The sequence below is a fragment of the Homo sapiens genome, chromosome 10 (assembly GCF_000001405.40).
Source record: "Homo sapiens chromosome 10, GRCh38.p14 Primary Assembly".
Lineage (NCBI taxonomy): Eukaryota > Metazoa > Chordata > Mammalia > Primates > Hominidae > Homo > Homo sapiens.
This window is the reverse complement of record NC_000010.11, coordinates 119,678,122-119,697,014: the sequence shown is the minus strand read 5'-3', so window position 1 is coordinate 119,697,014 and position 18,893 is coordinate 119,678,122. Positions and strand designations below refer to the sequence as shown.

At 47.9% G+C, this 18,893-nt stretch overlaps 1 long non-coding RNA gene and 1 pseudogene across 1 annotated transcript, besides 4 other annotated features; both read left to right on the top strand.

Moving 5' to 3' along the window:
- Positions 4,933 to 5,432: an enhancer, noted in NCBI's record as "H3K4me1 hESC enhancer chr10:121451095-121451594 (GRCh37/hg19 assembly coordinates)". NCBI's record gives its function as "activates a minimal SCP1, AML or CMV promoter by ChIP-STARR-seq in naive H9 embryonic stem cells {active_cell/tissue: H9 hESC(naive)}" and the evidence as "EXISTENCE:reporter gene assay evidence [ECO:0000049][PMID:30033119]".
- Positions 8,506 to 9,442: an enhancer, noted in NCBI's record as "OCT4-NANOG-H3K27ac-H3K4me1 hESC enhancer chr10:121447085-121448021 (GRCh37/hg19 assembly coordinates)". NCBI's record gives its function as "activates a minimal SCP1, AML or CMV promoter by ChIP-STARR-seq in naive H9 embryonic stem cells {active_cell/tissue: H9 hESC(naive)}" and the evidence as "EXISTENCE:reporter gene assay evidence [ECO:0000049][PMID:30033119]".
- Positions 9,443 to 10,379: an enhancer, noted in NCBI's record as "OCT4-NANOG-H3K27ac hESC enhancer chr10:121446148-121447084 (GRCh37/hg19 assembly coordinates)". NCBI's record gives its function as "activates a minimal SCP1, AML or CMV promoter by ChIP-STARR-seq in naive H9 embryonic stem cells {active_cell/tissue: H9 hESC(naive)}" and the evidence as "EXISTENCE:reporter gene assay evidence [ECO:0000049][PMID:30033119]".
- Positions 13,129 to 13,308: a silencer, noted in NCBI's record as "fragment chr10:121443219-121443398 (GRCh37/hg19 assembly coordinates)". NCBI's record gives its function as "represses an EF-1alpha promoter that drives an FKBP-Casp9 reporter gene in an ReSE screen in phorbol 12-myristate 13-acetate-treated (for megakaryocytic differentiation) K562 erythroleukemia cells {active_cell/tissue: K562(+PMA)}" and the evidence as "EXISTENCE:reporter gene assay evidence [ECO:0000049][PMID:32094911]".
- Positions 13,175 to 14,032, top strand: TXNP1 (thioredoxin pseudogene 1; annotated as a pseudogene).
- Positions 14,344 to 15,865, top strand: LOC124902513 (uncharacterized). Its single transcript, XR_007062312.1, has 2 exons — positions 14,344 to 14,704; positions 15,277 to 15,865. It is a non-coding gene; the product is annotated as an uncharacterized LOC124902513 (long non-coding RNA).

Below are 18,893 nucleotides of genomic sequence, written 5' to 3'. Positions count from 1 at the left end.
TCAATTCATTCATGTATCCAGCAAACGTTTGATGAGAGCACACATTCAGTGTCAGGGTTAAGGGTCTAGGGAGTCACTCCCCCTACCCCCACTCTAAGAGTCACACCGATAGAATATATGTCCAAGGATCTCTAGCCAAGCAGGAAACAGAAAACCAACCTTGACGCAAAGCTCTAGTAAAAGCTGGATTTGAACATGGCTTAAACCTAGACCTAAGGGAGACAAAATCCTCCTTTTCCACTGAACTGAACAGAGGAAGACTCATGAGGCAAGGGTCACCGGACCTACCCATCCAGTCATACTGGAGAAGTTGGAAAAAAGAGAATGACAGATCCTCGCTTCCCCTGCCACAGAGGTGGTCCTGCCAAGGGGTGCTAACCCCACAGAAGCATTATATCTGAGCTCAGGCAAAGCAAGAAGGGTGGGACCTGGGGCCTTGCCTTTAAGACCAGTTACTCCACCCACCAATGAAATTGGCCCAATCAGACCTTCAACCTCTCCCCTGGGAGGGGGCAACTAAAGGAAAGGAGAAGGATGATGGAAGTGTTTCCTCAAAATGTTCTTCCAATAGGAAGAGAAATCTTCTCCACATCCAGGGTCTAAAGAGGAACTAAACTTCTATGTGGTTCTCTTTAAGCTACCAGGTATTTGGAAGTTGGGGAGGGTGTTCATGACATGAAGAGAAGGATGTACAAAGACATGGAACCACAAAAGATCATGGCAAGTCCAGAAAAGAGTCAGTAGTTTATTTTGTCTGAAGCATAGCCATTGTGTGGAGGAAACAACAGGAGGAGTGTCTAAGCAGCCAGGCAGGTGCAAGATGATTTGTCAAGACTGATTAATTTGAAGAAAGATGGCTATCGGAAACTAACAGGAAACATCATATTTATCCACGAAATGCCAGGAGCATTCTCTTTAAATTAAGGAACAGGACAAGGATGTCTGTTATTCTTGATATTATTTAGCATTTTTGCTAGGCATTGTAATAACACAATAAAAAGAATAAGAGAGGCTGGGCACAGTGGCTCATGCCTGTAATCCAAGCACTTTGGGAGGCCAAGGCAGGTGGACTACTTGAGGCCAGGAGTTCGAGACCAGCCTGGCCAACATGGTGAAACCCCATCTCTACTAAAAATACAAAAATTAGCCAGGCATGGCGGCGTGCACCTGTAATCCCAGCTACTTGGGAGGCTGAAGCAGGAGATCACTTGAACCTGGGAGACAGAGGTTGCAGTGAGTTGAGATCGCACCACTGCACTCTAGTCTGGGCAACAGAGTAAGACTCTGTCTCAAAAAAAAAAAAAGAACACGAGGCACAACATAGGATAAATTAATTTATCATTATTATAGATGATATGATTGTCTACCTCTTGCCATCTTACAGAAACAGCTAGGTTGGACCTTGTTTTAGTCAAGTATGGACCAATCAGCACGCACTTTCTCCTTTCTGAAACCCATACAAACCCTCAACTCAGCCAGACTCACAGAGACGTTGGGATGACCTGCTGCTGATAGGAGCTAACCCCTCTGGGTCTCCTCTCCACTGAGGGCTGCAGACGTTGGGATGACCTGCCTGCAAATAGGAGCTACCCACTCTGGGGCTCCTCTCTTCTGAGGGCTAAAGATGTTGGGACTACCAGCTGCAGGAAGGAGCTACCCGCTTCGGTCTCCTTGACTCATCAGGATGACCTGCCTGTGGATAGGAGCTAGCCACTTTGAATCTCCTGAGAGCTGTTCTGTCACTCAGCGAAGCTCCTCTCCACCTCACTCACCCTCCAGTTGTCTGTGTACCTCATTCTTCCTGGATGCATGACAAGAACTTGGGACCTGCCGAATGGTGGGACTGAAAAAGCTGTAACACAAACAGGGCTGAAACACAACCCCCTGGCTCACCACATTGCAGGCAATAAGAAAAGAAGAGCTCTGGCCCTTCGGGGAGCTCAGACCTAGGGGGTCTCCAAGCCAGGGCTGCGACACCCTCTTTGGGGCTCTGCGGTTCCTGGCATCTCCAAGTTTGCAGGTGCCACCATATTACCCTCATCCAGACACGGGTGCCTGCAGCAGAAGCCGCATGCAGTACATCTGGTCCAGCCACAGCTTTTCATGGAGCAAGCACCTGTGGTGGCACCTGGAGTTGCCTGTCCCACCATAGCAGCTGGCATGCCTGGCTGTGCATAGTGGCCAGATCCCATGCTTGCTTGCCCACACACCCGCCACTCCACGCCTGGCTTGCCCTTGGCAGGTGTGGGATCTGAGCACAGCCTGCCGGGCCAAGTGGGTGGGATGAGCCCAGTGGGCAGAAGCAATATTCAGGCAGAAGGCGCTGCTGGCCACAGAGGTTTTCCAGCTGGAAAAACGACACCCCAAGGATCCTGTGACAAAACTACATTTCTTTTAAAAAGGAGGAAGGAGGCAGGAAAGGAGCCTTCTGGCCATGGGGAGAGTAACTCAGTGGGGGTTACTAGATTGGGTGGTTGGAAGACTGAAAGTGAAGAGCCCATTTAGGAGAATGACTCCAAGAATGATGGTGGTGGCAGGAGGGAAAAGGAAAAGATGGATGCTCTGAAAGTAGAACACTGGATATTTGATATATGAAGGGATTATTGTCGATTTTTTTTTTTTGAGACAGAGTTTTGCTCTTGTTGCCCAGGCTGGAGTGCAGTGGCACAATCTCGGCTCACTGAAACCTCTGCCTCGCAGGTTCAAGCGATTCTCCTGCCTCAGCCTCCCGAGTAGCTGGGATTACAGGCACACACCACCATGCCCAGCTAATTTTTTATATTTTTTGTAGAGATGGTGTTTCACCATGTTAGCCAGGCTGGTCTCGAACTCCTGACCTCTGGTGATCCGCCCATCTCAGCCTCCTAAAGTGCGGGGATTACAGGTGTGAGCCACTGCACCTGGCCTGTTGATTCTTTCATGTTTGGTGTTTGGTTGGGTTTAGAGTGAAGGAAATAAGGTATTAAGCATGATGCTGTTTCTGGCCTGGGCAAGTGGGTGGCACCATCTCCTGAAGTAGGAAACATCAGGGAGAAGAAGGTAGAAGGGGGATGGAGTGCCACTGTGCATACAGTGACTTCGAAGTACCTGTGGGATGTCTAGGTGGGGCTGTCCAGTTGGGTGAGGTCTGGGATGAGGTTGTGCAGATACAGAAAGTCAGAATGGATTCGTATAGAGTAGGTGACTGAGGCCATGTGGAAGAGGCAGATGGCCTGGAGAGGGACTAGAAAGGATTCTGGAAAGGAAAGGAAAATCCAGACCCAGAGGATGGTCAGCTTTGAAAGCACAGGCAGAGAAAGAGGAGCCCAAAACATAGGCTGGAAGGAAATAGCCAAAATATAGGAGGAAAACTAAAGAGGGTAAATCTCATGGGAGTTACAGGAAAGGGGTCAGGAAAAGGGTCAACAGCTCCAGAAGCCACTGAACATTCATTCACAGAAAGAAAGGAATACTGTCCATTGGATTCAACAACAAAGACACTGTTTATGACCTCAGTGAAAGCAGTTTCCGGGCTGCTGAGCACACAGGCCATGCCTTGGGTGGAGGCGTGAATGGGAGGCATACAAAGCTGCTTCTTGTGGTCTGCTCTCCCCACCGCCTCTCAGGGAGGCCGTCCTGTCCACCATCCTGTGGTCCTAAACAGCCACATCCTGTAATCTGAGGCCAGTGACCTATGACTTGTCTCCTCACTTGAAGAAATTACCAGGCTAGTTGGGTTCCATCTCTTGAGCATCTGTCTGTTGATGGTGGGAGCTGGGCTAAAGATCCTGAAGTTGACTGAAGCTGGAGTGTTCATTATGGGATGGTGTAGGATGGGTAAGTAGAGAGTGGTGGAAATGGCAGAGATGGTCAGAGAGAAGCAGACACACACACACACACACACACACACACACACACACACACACACACACACAGATGAGGGAGGAGAGGGCAGGGTAGAAAGGAGGAGGAGCCCATCCTGATGAGTTTGCAGCCCCTATTCCAGGTTTCCATGAGGCCAATTATCCTTCAGCATCTTGGGTAAGAGGTCTGGGGTGAGGTTGAGCAGATACAGAAAGTCGGAACGGATTCGTGTAGAGCAGGTGAACGAGGCCATGTGGGAGAGGGAGACAGCCTGGAGAGGGACTAGAAAGGACTCTGGAAAAGAATGGGAAATCCAGACCCAGAGGATCTATTGCTAGATTTGCACATGGTTGCCAGTGTGTCCCTATAAGAAGCAGCTCCCTAGAGCCAGCCAGATGGGTCTGTATTCCAAAGGAACTTGAACAGAACAGGAAATGAGGAGGTAGAGGCACTGAGTGTGCATAACTCCTTTAAGAGTTTAATTTTGCAGGGAGGAGAGAAATGGGGCAACAACAGGATAGAGTGGTGAGAGCAACTTAAAGATTTTATATATATCTCTCTCTCTTTTTTTTTTTTTTTTTTTTTTTTGAGATGGAGTCTCACTCTGTTATCCAGGCTGGGGTGCAATGGCGCGATCTCGGCTCACTGCAACCTCCGCCTCCCGGGTTCAAGTGATTCTCCTGCCTCAGCCTCCTGAGTAGCTGGGACTACGGATGCCCACCACCGTGCCCAGCTAATTTTTGTATTTTTAGTAGAGATGGGATTTTACCACATTGGTCAGGCTGGTCTTGAACTCCTGACCTCGTGATCCGCCTGCCTCAGCCTCCCAAAGTGCTGGGATTCCAGGCGTGAGCCACCATGCCTAGCCTATTAACTTAAAGATATATTAATGTTGCTGGGGATAAATCAAGAGGAGAAGTTGGACACACAAGAGAGCTGGGACAACTGAAAAATCAAGGTCTCAGAAGAGGTGGATGGTGGGATCATCTTTGAACAGAGACTGTGAGCCCCATGTCATTGGCACCAATGCATTGGGCCCTCGGCCTCCCCAGGACAGGGTGGGTCTCCTCTCAGAGGCCTCTTTCTTACCTCCCTGGAAAGAGGGGAGCCACAGCGACTCCCGCCCTGTCTTCATCAACCCTGCCTTTCTAATCAGGCTGCTAGCATCTTGGGTTGGATGCCTGATATTTCACTTCAAATGCCTCCCAGACTTGCTAAGTCACTTCCAGGAGGCATTGACAGCTGTGTGTGATCACTTGTGGTGGGACTCTTGAGCAGCAGCCAGCTCTAATACAGAGCTTCAAAGGTGGAGCTGGTTATATTCTGGCTGTCTTCACCTTCAGTGTCAAGGCATACAACAGCCCCTCGTAACCTAACAGGCATGTTTCTCATTACTTCTTTTTTATTTTTTATTTTTTTGAGATGGAGTCTCACTCTGTTGCCCAGGTTGGAGTGCAGTGGCACGATCTCGGCTCACTGCAAGCTCTGCCTCCCGGGTTCAGGCCATTCTCCTGCCTTAGCCTCCCAAGTAGCTGGGACTACAGGAGCCAACCACCACGCCCGGCTAATTTTTTGTATTTTTAGTAGAGACGGGGTTTCACCACATTAGCCAGGATGGTCTCAATCTCCTGACCTCGTGATCCGCCTGCCTCGGCCTCCCAAGGTGCTGGGATTACAGGCGTGAGCCACCGCACCCAGCCAAAGCCACCGCGCCTGGCCGTTACTCATTACTTGTTTGCAAACACTCTATGCCCCAGCTCCTCCAGACAGCTCACTGTAGAACGGCTCCCCATTCCTTTTCAATCTGCCCTACTAAAGATCCCTGACCAATTTGCGGAGAAGGACTGAGTCTTGTTCGTCGAGGTACATTGAACTCCTAGCACAGTGCCAGGTATAGAGTAGGCATTCAGTAATACCTGTGGGATACAATTTTCCCTGAATGCACTTCATGCTTTCACACTTGCAGGCTTTTGTTCACAATACTCCTGCTCCCCAGAAGATCCTCTTCCCGTTTCAGACTCTTAACTAGATTCCCCTTATCTGCTGTCTCTCTCTCTCTCTCCCCTCCAGCACCCGATTACTCTTCATCTTCTTAGCCTGTTGTGCTCTGTCCTGAGTTGCCCCAGCATACCGTATTCAAACTGCTGGTTTACTCGATTCACTGCCCTAACCCCCTTACCCCTATTAGGCCTGAAGACAATGGATAGGCTTTACCCATCTTTATATTCCAGTCTTAAACTCACTGTGTTTCTTTTTCTTTTCTTTTTTTTTTTTTTTGAGTCAGGGTCTCACTCTATGACCCAGGCTGTGGAGTGCAGTGGCACAATCATGGCTCACTGCTGCAGCCTCGAACTCCTGGGCTCAAGTGATCCTCTCACCTCAGGATCACTGACAAGGTCGCACCACGTTTCCCAGGTTGGTCTCCTAGGCTCAAGCAACCCTCCCGACTTGCCCTCCCAAAGTGCCGGGATTACAGGCAAGAGCCACCGTGCCTGGCCTACTCTCTGTTCTTAGCAACAATTAGAATAATGTCTGCCGTATAGTAGGTATCAATATACCTGTGTAATCCAGGTAGGACAGGCTCCTCTTCTGTATCCTGGAGTACTTCTTGCTAAAATACAGTGAGGAGAGATGAGACAGGAATTAAATATTCAGTCTTACTGTCTCTCAATTTTGAAACTGCCTCAGACCATAGGACTCTCTAAGTTTAGTGACACCTGGTAGCACCTCCATGGCAGGGGTGGAGGGCTGCAGCTCTGCTGGAGACACTCTCCCAGTTGATCAGAATGTGCTTACCACCCTTTTGGCCGCCTCACTAGTCTTTGCCAACCCAAACCCCACTGGCTGCTACGGAGTCCACAATGAAAGGGGTCCCCAAGAGAGTATTCTTGGATCTCACGCAAGAAATAATTCAGGGTGAGTCTGCAGAGTAAAGTGAAAGCAAGTATATTAAGACAGTAAAGAATATAAGAATGGCTACTGTGGCCAGGCGCCTGTAATCCCAGCACTTTGGGAGGCCAAGGCGGGAGAATCATGAGGTCAGGAGTTCGAGACCAGCCTGACCAACATGGTGAAACCCCATCTCTACTAAAAATACAAAAATTAACCATGTGTGGTGGCGCACGCCTGTAATCCCAGCTACTCAGGAGGCTGAGGCAGGAGAATCGCTTGAACCCAGGAGGCAGAGGTTGCAGTGAACTGAGATCGCGCTACTGCACTCCAGCCTGTGTGACAGAGTGAGACTCTGTCTCAAAAAAAAAAAAAAAAAGAAAGAAAAGAAAAGAAAACAAAGGCCGGGCATGGTGGCTCACGTCTGTAATCCCAGCACTCTGGGAAGCTGAGATGGGCAGATCACCTGAGATCAGGAGTTCGAGACCAGCCTGACCAGTATGGTGAAACCCTGTCTCTACTAAAAGTACAAAAATTAGCAGGGCGTGGTGGCGCGCGCCTGTAGACCCAGCTACTCAGAAGGCTGAAACAGGAGAATTGCCTGAACCCCAGGGGGGCGGAGGTTGCAGTGAGCCAAGATCATGCCACTACACTATAGCCTGGGTGACAGAGCAAGACTCCATCTCAAAAAAAAAAAAAAAAAAAATAGCTACTGCAAAGACAGAGCAGCCCCAAGGGCTGCTGGTTGCTCATTTTTATGGTTATTTCTTGATTATATGCTAAACAAGGGGTGGATTCTTCATGCCTCCCCTTTTGAGACCAAATAGGGTAACTTTCTGATGTTGCCATGGCATTGGTAAACTGTCATGGTGCTGGCGGGAGTGTAGCAGTGAGGTCACTCTCATTGCCATCTTGGTTTTGGTGGGTTTTGGCCAGCTTCTTTACTGCAGGCTGTTTTATTAGCAAGGTCTTTGTGACCTGTATCTTGTGCTGACCTCCTATCTCATCGTGTGACTTAGAATGCCTAACCTTCTGGGAATGCAGTGCAGTAGGTTTCAGTCTCATTTTACCCAGCTCCTATTCAAGGTGAAGTTGCTCTGGTTCACATGCCTCCGGCAGACTGGAGGTACAGATAGATTTCACAGAGCAGCCAGTATAGTCTGGATGAAGGAACAAAGGAAACGACACAGTTCCCTTGTACCGTTCATGCGGAAAAGGTCTTATAGAATTAAGCCTCCAGAAAGAGGGGGCCCACAAAGACCCTCCTTTTCTCTCCATTTCTCCATCTGCGCTCAATACCCCCCTTCCTGCCAACCCCTCTTTCACGCACCCAGACCTGATACCTTTCTCTTTTCCTCCAGATACTTCTCTCCGTAGTTTACCCTGTTACCCTAACCTTGTTGATTTTTTTTTTCTGCTTAGTCCATCATTTTCTCAGAAATGTGTCTTAACATCTCCCACTATGATTGTGGATTTGTCTATTTCTCTTTTTAGTTCTGTCAACTTTGTTATGTATTTTAAAGCTTTGTTCTTTATTAAGTGCTGCATATCATGTATGAAAAATTACAGATATAATTTGAGGCCCTAGATGATAGTAAGATTTATTTTTGCTTCTGGAAGGCAGTTGGGGTCTGGGCAGGCACCCTTAATCCAGTGGTTTTCAACCACAGGTGATTTTCCCCACCAGGGGACATTTGGCAATGTCTGGAGAAAGTTTGGTTGTCAGAATTTGGGGAAGGAGAGGTGCTACTGGCATCCAGTGGTTAAAAGCCAGGAATACTAAACATTGCATAGGATGGTCCACTGATAATGTCAATTTATCAGTGTCAATAGCACTGAGGTTGCGAAAGCTTGCCCTAATCCAATTATCAGAGGCGTTTGAACCAAAGTAACTCCATCTTGAGTAGGGGCTGCGTAAAATAAGGCTGAGACCTGCTGGGCTGCATTCCTAGAAGGTTAGGCAATCTAAGTCATGGGATGAGATAGGAGGTCAGCAGAAGATACAGGTCATAAAGACCTTGCTAATAAACCAGGTTGCAGTAAAGAAGCCGGCTAAAACCCACCAAAGCCAAGATAGTGACAACAGTGACCTCTGGTTGTCATCACTGCCACACTCCACTTGCACCATGACAGTTTACAAATGCCATAACAACATCAGGAAGTTACCCTATATGGTCTCAAAAGGGGAGGCATGAATAATCCACCCTTTGTTTAGCATATCATCAAGAGATAACCATAAAAATGGGCAACCGGCAGCCCTCGGGGCTGCTGTGCCTATGGGGTAGCCATTCTTTTATTCCTTTACTTTCCTGATAAACTTGCTTTCACTTTACTCTATGGACTCACCCTGAATTCCTTCTTGCTCCAGATCCAAGAACCTTCTCTTGTGGTCTGGATCAAGACCCCTTTCCTGTAACACAGTCAAACGGTAAGCCAATGGGAAGCTGGGTTTCAGTCTTTGTGAGAGTTTCTCTATTTTCATTCCTGTTCCTTCCAAAGGGTGAGGCCCTTTGGAAGTTGAAAGCTGGCGGCGACTACTTGAGCTCTTCCTTCCTTAGCATGAGACTGCTGGGAGCTTCTCTGCCTCATGAAATAGGCAAATGCCTCAAAATTCAAAGCTCTGCTAACCCTTCTCTCCAGGACCTTGACCCTCAAATCCTCACCCCCTTGGCGGCTCACCTTCAGATAGGTCTTGTTTGTTTTGCCAGCTTTTCTAGCTGCTCCGGATAGGAGGACTGATCTGCCAATCTGCCTTTAGGGGAAACAGCAAGAGATTGCCTCTCAGTCTTTTCTTGAAGCTTTCAAATGCAGGCTTTAGGCCTATTGTGATGCTAATGGATCTCCTCTGCCCTTACTTTGCCCATTCTGCATGGAGGGGGCAGCTCTAGTCCCCCAAGCATGAAAGAAGTTGGGTACTCCCGGTTCTGATCATTACTGCCACCAGGAAGAGCTACGGGGTGAGAGGGGGGATGGATTTCTCCCTAGTTATGTAAGAAACAAGCAGGTCTCACCCTTCATTTTTCCTTTCTCATACAAGGTGAAATACTGCAGTCTCATACGAGGAAGCATGTTTTTCCTGTTAACATTATTTCGATCCTGGTCCTTAGGGAAAAATAAGCCCGGCATTAAAGTGCGGGGAGCACTCACCTTCCCCCACCCCACAGTCTGGCTTATAGTGCTAGAACACCAACCAAGTGGTGACTGGGCCGGACCACAAATGGATGCGGATGCGGTCAGCTCCCGTTATGAGGATAGAATTCTAATCAGATTGTGGATCCGATTACTTCTGACTCATAAATCTCCCTGACTTTAGAAAACAGGGATATCTTATTTATTGGAGGAATGACAGTGTGAACAGAGGCGTGGCTGCGTTCTCACCAGCTGAGATAAACGCCGACCAGACCAGCACAGACATCCTGTGCTCGTTTCCTTTACTTGGTTTTTCAAATAAAGCCTTTGTGTGTCACTGGTATTGTGAGGAATACGAAATAATGAAAGAAGTGATTCTTCAGGTGAGTCATTCTATTATAAAATGGAGCCCACCGTCAGGAACTGCTCCCTGAGAGAGCAGGACAGGATTTCCCTGCGCGGGGAGTGAAAGCAGAAGGCGCAGTCACGACGCGCCCCCTACTGGTCAGCGAGGAGAAATCCCTCACCTCAGGTTTCAATTAGTGCGGGTGAGTCCTGAATTAGGAACCTCAGACCTGAGGCCTGGTGTGGTGGCTCACACCTGTAGCCCCAGCACTTTGGGAGGCCGAGGCAGGTGGATCACTTGAGGCCAGGAGTTTGAGACCAGCCTGGCCAATATGGTGAAACCCCGTCTCAGGTAAAATAACAAAAATCAGCTTGACGTCGTGGCACACACCTGTATACCAGCTACTCAGGAGGCTGAGGCAGGAGAATCGCTTGAACCCGGGAGGCGGAGGTGCAGTGAGCCGAGATGGCGCCATGGCACTCCAAAGAATCACAGAACTGGCCAGGCACGGTGGCTCACGCCTGTAATCCCAGCACTTTGGGAGGCCGAGGTGGGAGGATCACCTGAGGTCAGGAGTTCGAGGCCGGCCTGGCCAAAATGGCGAAACCCCCCTCTCTACCGAAAAATGCGAAAAGTAGCCGGGCATGGTGGTGCCCAACTACTGGGGAAGCTGAGGCAAGAGAATTGCTTGAGCCAGGGAGGCCAACGGAGGTTGCAGTGAGCTTAAGTCGTGCCACTGCACTCCAGACTGGGTGACAGAGAGGAACCTTGTCTCAAAAAAAAAAAAAAAAAAAAAAAAGAAAGAAATATTACTGAGAATCACAGAACTGAAGTGGAATTCCATGAATCCAATGGAATTACATTAAATTCCATGAGTAGGAATCCAATTCCATGAATGAAATTTCATGAATCCAATGGGATTCATGGAATTGCTGACACACAGTGAGATACTAAGGAGGCTAGGAGGCTAAGATGAAGAGCCCCTGTCTCAGGACTCCAGGGCCTAATTTAACAGCCACAATCTGCCAAGGTCAGAGGTAGCCTTAACGTGTACTGTACTCATAAATCAATCTCCCTGGAGATTTCAAACCTTCAAATTGCTTTGGTAAAGCCTTAACTCCTTTCAACCTGAGGAAGTCGATTGAAGAAAAAAGCCTTAGCTCTAAAGAAAGATTTTGAGTTTCTCATTCCAGTGGACCACAAAAAAATAAAAAAGAAAGAAAGAAAAATCGCATTTGTGCAAAATCAACCATTTACATTTTATACTAATCAGTAAGTTATTCTTGGGCCTCGTGCTTGTTTGTAAACACATGCCTTCTCTCTTTCATTCTAACTGGAAACTTTATCCTTAAATCTGTTCGTGCAATAATTATGAAATGTAATTTTATTTTTAAACAATATATTTTCTTTTGTTTGTTAATTTCTTACTTTTTTTTTTTTTTAGACAGAGTCTATGTTGCCCAGGCTGCAGTGCAGTGGCGTGATCTCGGCTCACTGCAACCTCTGCTTCCTGGGTTCAAGCTATTCTCCAGCCTCAGCCCCCCAAGTAGCCGGGATTACAGGCATGCGCCATGACGCCCGGCTAATTTTTTTTGTATTTTTGGTAGAGACGGGGTTTCGCCATGTTGTCCAGGTTGGTCTCAAACTCCTGGCCTCAAGTGATCCACCTGCCTTGGCCTCCCAAAGTGCTGAGATTACCGGCGTGAGCCACCATGCACAGACTCTTTTGTTAATTTCTTTAATTTTTAAATTTCTATTGATATATTATAGTTGTTCTTATCCTGAAGATATTTTGATACATGTATAAATGCATAGGATCAAATCAGGGTAGCTATCGATCGCCTCTATGTATTTTCTTGTATCTTGATCGTTAGAGTGAAATATAAGGAACAAAAAACAAACATGGAGAAGTTACCATGTTTTTAGTATTTTTAAATCCTAAGGGTTTGAAAGGTATATATTTGGGATAATGGGCCTTTTTGTCTTTTTTTGTCTGAAGGAAATTTGTGACCCAATAATTAGTCAAAATTATCTCCAAAAAATGTTAATGAAACTGGGCACCTTTTGGGAGACATTTTTAAATTATGTCAGCTACTTCAGTGTCAGAGGGTGGACAGAGTTGGCTGAGAACAGTCACATTTAGACAAGAGTCTTGTGTGTACTCTTTTGGTTATGAAAATGTAGGGCAAGTAAGCACTCATTGCCCTGAGTGAAAAGTGACATAAACATTTTTTTAAAGGGTTCATGAAGCCTGTCCCTCCCTTAATACCTCTTGATGGGAAAATTTCATTGTCAGGCTGGGGCTCACACCTGCAATCCCGGCACATTGGGAGGCCAAGGCAGGCAGATCATCTGAGGTCAGGAGTTCGACACCAGCCTGGGCAACGTGGTGAAACCTGGTCTCTACTAAAATTACAAACATTAGCCGGGCATGGTGTCGGGTGCCTGTAATCCCAGCTACTTGGGAGGTTAAGATGGGAGAATCACTTGAACCAGGGAGGTGGAGGTTGCTGTGAGCAGAGATTGCGCCACTGCACTCCAACCTGGGCAATAAGAGTGAAATTCCATCTTAAAAAAAAAAATTAAAAATTGAGAGATTTCACAGGAACAAATTTCTGGTCTTTCTGGAAAATTGGAAATCTCTTGTAACGCTGGACCAATGCCCCACATGACAATTGCTGCGTGGGGCCAAGCATCAGTCCCTGGCTCTGCCCCCAGACTACATCCAACTTGTGACAGCTTGGCTCTGTCAATCCTCCACCTGGCTGGCCTCTGTGAACTGTGGGATCGCACCTTGTGGAAGGCTTGTGCTGGGATAGAGCTGACTCAGTGCTGGGGGATCCCTGAGGGGACCCCAGGATTTGAATTCCAGGTTCCTAGAGGATATCAGCTGAATGCTCACCTTTCTGTGTGCCCTGTAGGCATAGATAAGTTTGGCATTCAGGAGAAAGAGGGTACCAGAGCTCCAAGCTCGATCCGGCACTTTTGGATCCGTTTCCATCGGTTCTTACAGCTGCTCCTCAGACCCTAGCAGCCAAGATGGTGAAGCAAATTGAGAGCAAGGTTGCTTTTCAGGAAGGCTTGGAGGCTGCAGGTGATAAATTTGTCATGGTTGACTTCTCAGCCACGTGGTATGGGCCTTGCAAAAAGATCAAGCTTTTCTTTCATTCCCTCTCTGAAAAGTATTCCAACATGGTATTCTTTGAAGTACATGTGGCTGACTGTCAGGATGTTGCTTCAGAATGTGAAGTCAAATGCATGCCAACCTTCCAGTTTTTTTTTGTTGTTTGTTTGTTTGTTTGTTTTTGAGATGGATTTTTCCTCTTGTCCCCCAGGCTGGAGTGCAATGGCAAAATCTCAGCTCACAGCAACCGCCATCTCGCAGGTTCAAGTGATTCTCCTGCCTCAGCCTCCCGAGTAGCTGGGGTTATAGGCATGCGCCACCAGGCCTGGCTAATTTTTGTATTTTTAGTAGAGACGGGGTTTCTCCATGTTGGTCAGGCTGGTGTCGAACTCCTGACCTCAGGTGATCCACCCGCCTCAGCCTCCCAAAGTGCTGGGATTACAGGTGTGAGCCACCGTGCCTGGCCCTTTCCAGTTCTTTAAGAAGGGACAAAAGTGGGTGAATTTTCTGGAGCTAATAAGGAAAAGCTTGAAGCCACCATTAATGAATTAGTCTAATCATGGTTTCTGAAAACATAACCAGCCATTGGCTATTTAAAACTTGTAATTATTTTTATTTACATAAAGTATAAAGTATGGAGACTATAAACCCAACTGCCATCTGGATGACAACAAAATATGAATTCTACTCTTTTTTAAAAAAAAAAAAAAGAAGAAAGAAAAAAAGAGGGTATCAGAAACAGACCCAGAGATGACTGGGGTCTGGGAGGAGGAAGCTGGAGAACCGGTGAGTGTGAACAGTATGCATCAGTCAGGGTTCGCCAGAGAAACAAAATACACATATACAGCGCTTGTGTGGTGGGGATGTGTATGTGTGTGTGGGTTTAATTTTTATTATAAATAGAGATGGGGTTTTGCCATGTTTCCCAAGCTTGTCTTGAACTCCTGGGCTCAAGCAATCCACCCTCCCCAGTCTCCCAAAGTGCTGGGATTACAGGCATGAGCCACCGCACCCAGCCATGTGTGTATTTTTTTTTTTTTTAAGGATTTGGCTCACATGATTGTGGGGACAGACAAGTTGGAAAGCTGTAGGGCAGGGCAAGTCAGGGCAGGGCAGCAGGCTAGAAACTCAGCCAGGGCAGATGCTGTAGTCTTGAGGCAGAATTTCTTCTCCTCCGGGAGAAATCAACCGATGGTAGATGTTAACCAAGTCTGTAGAATATCTACTCAGCAGCATCTAGTGCTGGAGTTAAATAGCTGGGTGCTATGGTCCAGCCAAGGTGCCGCCTGAAACACCCTCACATGGTGGGAAGAGCGGTGGTTGAAGAAGGAACCCTGGAGACCTTGATGTTGAAGAGAGGGCAAGGGAAGAGGGTGAGTCAGAGCCTGCTGGGGAGGAGAGCTGGAGACATTGCATAACACCAGTGACAGTGTGCCCACAGAAGTGGTTTCGGTAGGGGTGGGTGCAGGAATGGATGGCTGTAGGTGGATCAGGACGTGGGAGGTGAGGGGACTTAGCTGGCTCTTCCACGACATGTGATCAGAAAGTGGGGGTGGTGAGCTGGGGGTGGTGACCCGGGCACGATGGCTCATGACTGTAATCCCAGCACTTTGGGAAGCCAAAGCAGGTGGATCACTTGAGGTCAGGAGTTCAAGACCAGCCTGGCCAACATGGTGAAACCCCTTCTCTACTAAAAATAGATTTTTTTTTTTTAATTTAGCTGGGTGTGTGGCACATGTCTGTAATTCCAGCTACTCGGGAGGCTGAGGTGGGAGAACTGCTTGAACTTCGGAAGCAGAGGTTGCAGTGAGCCAAAATTGCACTACTTCACTCCAGCCTGGGCAACAGAGCAATACTCTGTCTCAAAAAGAAAAAGAAAAAGAAAAGTGGGGGCAGGGGGTAAAGTGAGGAGGAAGCATTTCTTTTTGGTTTGTGTTTTCTGTAGGCTAAGGACAAGAAAAGAGCCATTGGAGAGAGAAAGAGATGAAGTGGAAGACAGTGAGTGAGGGGCTGGCAGAAGGATTTCCCCTCTTCAAACTAGAGGAGAACTTCCTCAGCCTCCATGCAGCCGGCCAGATCCTAGGGCAAAGCTCTGGCTAGAGAAGGCAAGGACAGGCAAGAAAATGTTTTAGAAAAAGACCCTTTCCATCTGGAATGCTTTTTCCAACTCCCTTCACACCTTCAGGCTGGCTTCTAGTTGCACCAGGAACTCTGGGCCCACGTGTGAGGTGCGGGGGCAACACTGTCCATCGAGAGGACCTGTGGCTGCCTCCTCATCCCTTCCACCAAGCGCAGGATGGCACCATTGCTGGCTTCTGCTGCCCTCTGTTGTGGTCCTGTACCTCCTCACCTGCTCAGATGCTCCGCGGGGACTGATGGAGCTCTTCCTGGTCTCCAGTGGTTCTTACTGGGTAGTGCTGGACAACAGAGTACCAGGAAGGCAGGGACCTGGCCAAGCGCACATACGCATGAGTGGAGGAAATTTTACAATTTTTAGGAAGCAACAAAGTATAAAGTGGGAATTGCACATCTTCCTTACGTTTCTTTTGTTGTTTTTATTTTGAATTACGTATTGAGGGAAGCGCTACAATTTTTTCCATAGGTGGGTGTCTAGGGCTTCCCCAGCCCCGCTCTCAGCCCTCTGCACTCACACTTTTCAGAGCCACAGGATGTGTAAGGGCACCGGAATCACCAAGGGTGGGTGTGCCTGCTGGAGCTTTTTTTGTGCTGCCTGAAAGTTCAAAACACGCTGGAACAGGGAAAGAAAGGTATTTGCCCAAGTGACTAAGACATGTTCCAGCGTTTTCCCACAGGCTCCTGCACATCCCAAAATAACTGCAACCCTGGATCCTGTCCGTTGGCATTCGATTACATTTGTATAATGTTACAGACAGTGGGCAGGCCGGCCAGCCACACTCACACAGGGGCTTGCAGGACCGCACAGCCCATAATGGAGCTCCACGCTATGCTTCCTGGCTAGGCTGCTAAGGGAGAAATACCAAGGCAGAGACCACAACAGTAGCCAAGTGCAGACCTGCCAGAAACATCCAGATCACCAAGAGGGCCCTTGGGCAAGGCCCTCCTTTCACAGATGAGAGCAAAGGGCACAGAGAGAGGAAATTACTTACATAAATTAACTTAAATAAATTACATATCTGGGAATTATGAAAGTTGGTGAAAGAGTTGGCCCTCAACTCACAGCTCCTAAAGAGGTATTTATTTGTGCAGGAACATCAATTTAGCCTTAGAATCCTAACATCTTAAGTGGAAGGGACTTTTAAGCACTCCCTGACCATCCAGGGTGCTTCTGTGCCCAGGTCTGGACAACAATGTGGGAAGAAGGAAGTGTCGGAATGAACCTGCCACCCCTCCGGGGATTCTGTCTTGCTGAGGAAATGACTCAGGATGTTGAGAAAACAACTGGGTTTTGGCAAATGCACAGAAGGGTGCTAGGAGCTTTGGGAAGGGAGAGTCTGAGAAGGAATGCGTGGTCCAGGTGGGGAAAGTTTCAACCCAAGGTGGGCCTCAGAGTGGGAAGATCTGGAGGCTGGGCATGGTGGCTCACAGCTGTAATCCCAGCACTTGGGAGGCCGAGGTGGGCAGATCACTTGAGGTCAGGAGTTCAAGACTAGCCTAGCCTGGCCAACATGGCAAAAAACCATCTCTACTAAAAAATACAAAAATTAGCCGGGGTGACGCACACCTATAATCCCGGCTGCTCGGGAGGCTGAGACAGGACAATCGCTTGAACCCGGGAGGCAGAGGTTTCAGTGAGCTGAGATTGCATCACTGCACTCCAGCCTGGGCGACAGAGTAAGACTCCATCTCAAAAAAAAAAAAAAAAAAAAAATGGAGTCGGAAGATTTGGAAAAGCAGATAGAGAGGGCCTGAGCAGGCATCGCAGGAAATAGCCCTGACACTCGGTAGATGCTCAGTGGCTGTAGCCCCCCAATGCCTACAGGGGCCAAGACAGTTGTGTCACCAAGAGCGTACAGCTAGCTCTATGCCCTGCTCCCCACACAAGGCCCAGGGGCCACCAACACAGGCCAGATAACTCCCGTCCTGATGCCCACAGCATGTCTCATTTGGATGATTGAAAATATTCCAACCACATTAAACAGCTACTTATTTGATGATGTTTAGTGATAAAAATACTATCAACCTAATCCAGTAACCACTCAAGGAGGCTTAACGTCGTATGAGGTCCATTGAGTCCCAAAGAGAAGTGGTCACATCATCTTTGGTTCTTTTTTTTTTTTTTTTTGAGATCGAGTCTCACTCTGTTGCTCAGGCTGCAGTATAGTGGCGTGATCTCGGCTCATTGCAACATCTGCCTCCCAGGTACAAACAATTCTCGTGCCTCAGCCTCCCAAGTAGCTGGGAGTATAGGTGCATGCCACCACGCCCGGCTAATTTTTGTATTTTTAGTAGAGGTGGGGTTTCACCATGTTTGCCAGGCTGGTCTCGAACTCTTGACCTCAAGTAATCCACCCGCCTCGGCCTCCCAAAGTGCTGGGATTACGGGAATGAGCCACTGCACCCAGCCTGGTTCATTTTTAAAATAGTCTAGTATTTTTTTTTTTTTTTCCTATTTACATGTTCGAGTTTCTAGAATCAGTGGCATGTCGGCTTGTACTCCCCAAATGAGTTCACCCAGGAATGATGTTGGCAGATTCCCATGGGAATGACTTCAGCCTTCCTCAGCAGGCTAACAGTGGCAAGCACACCAGGGTGTATTTTTGTGCAGCATCGTCAGGCACCAGTATTAAACTCAATACAGTCATGAGAAATTCAGCTCGGGGGCTCTTAAGTCAGCACTTCACTGAGAGTTCCAAGGTCTCAGGCCTTTCTCTTTTCACTTTATTTGGCAAGTAGTTAAATAAATAAATAAAATAAAAATAAAAAATAAACAAATCCAGCACATCTCCATGCTGTGGGGCTGTGGTCCCTCCCAAGGTTAAAAAAAAAAAAAAAAAGCCACTGGCACAGCAAGAAGAATCTCCTTCTACCCAGGCCTGAGTGTATCTCGTCCCTAACTCCAGAGGCTTCTAGGAACCCAATCCAGGAAGATAAATCTGGTCTCAGTTTGGTTTGGTGACTCACAAGGTGTTAATAAAGATGACCCCAAGATTCTCAGAGCACATTTCCAACCCCCAGTGACCTAGACTCCAAGGAACACTTTGGCCAGCCTTGGGCAATAGTGGGAGCTGGCTTCCCTGTGCGCTTCCTTTTTTAATTTTTAGAGACAGGGTCTCAACTCTGTTGCCCAGGTTGGAGTGCAGTGGCGGGATCACAGCTCACGGCAGCCTCATCTCTTGGACTTAAACTATCTTCACGTCTCAGCATCCCTGGTAGCTTGGGACTGAAGACGCATGCCACCACCTGGCTGATTTGTTTTTTGTAGAGACAGGGTCTTGCTATGTTGCCCAGGCTGGTCTCAAACTCCTGGCCTCAAGGGATCCTCCTGCCTTGGCCTCCCAAAGTGCTGGGATAACAGGTGTGAGCCATTGCGCCAGGCCCTCTGGGCACTTTTGGACAATCTCAGCTTCTTGGTGAGGCCTG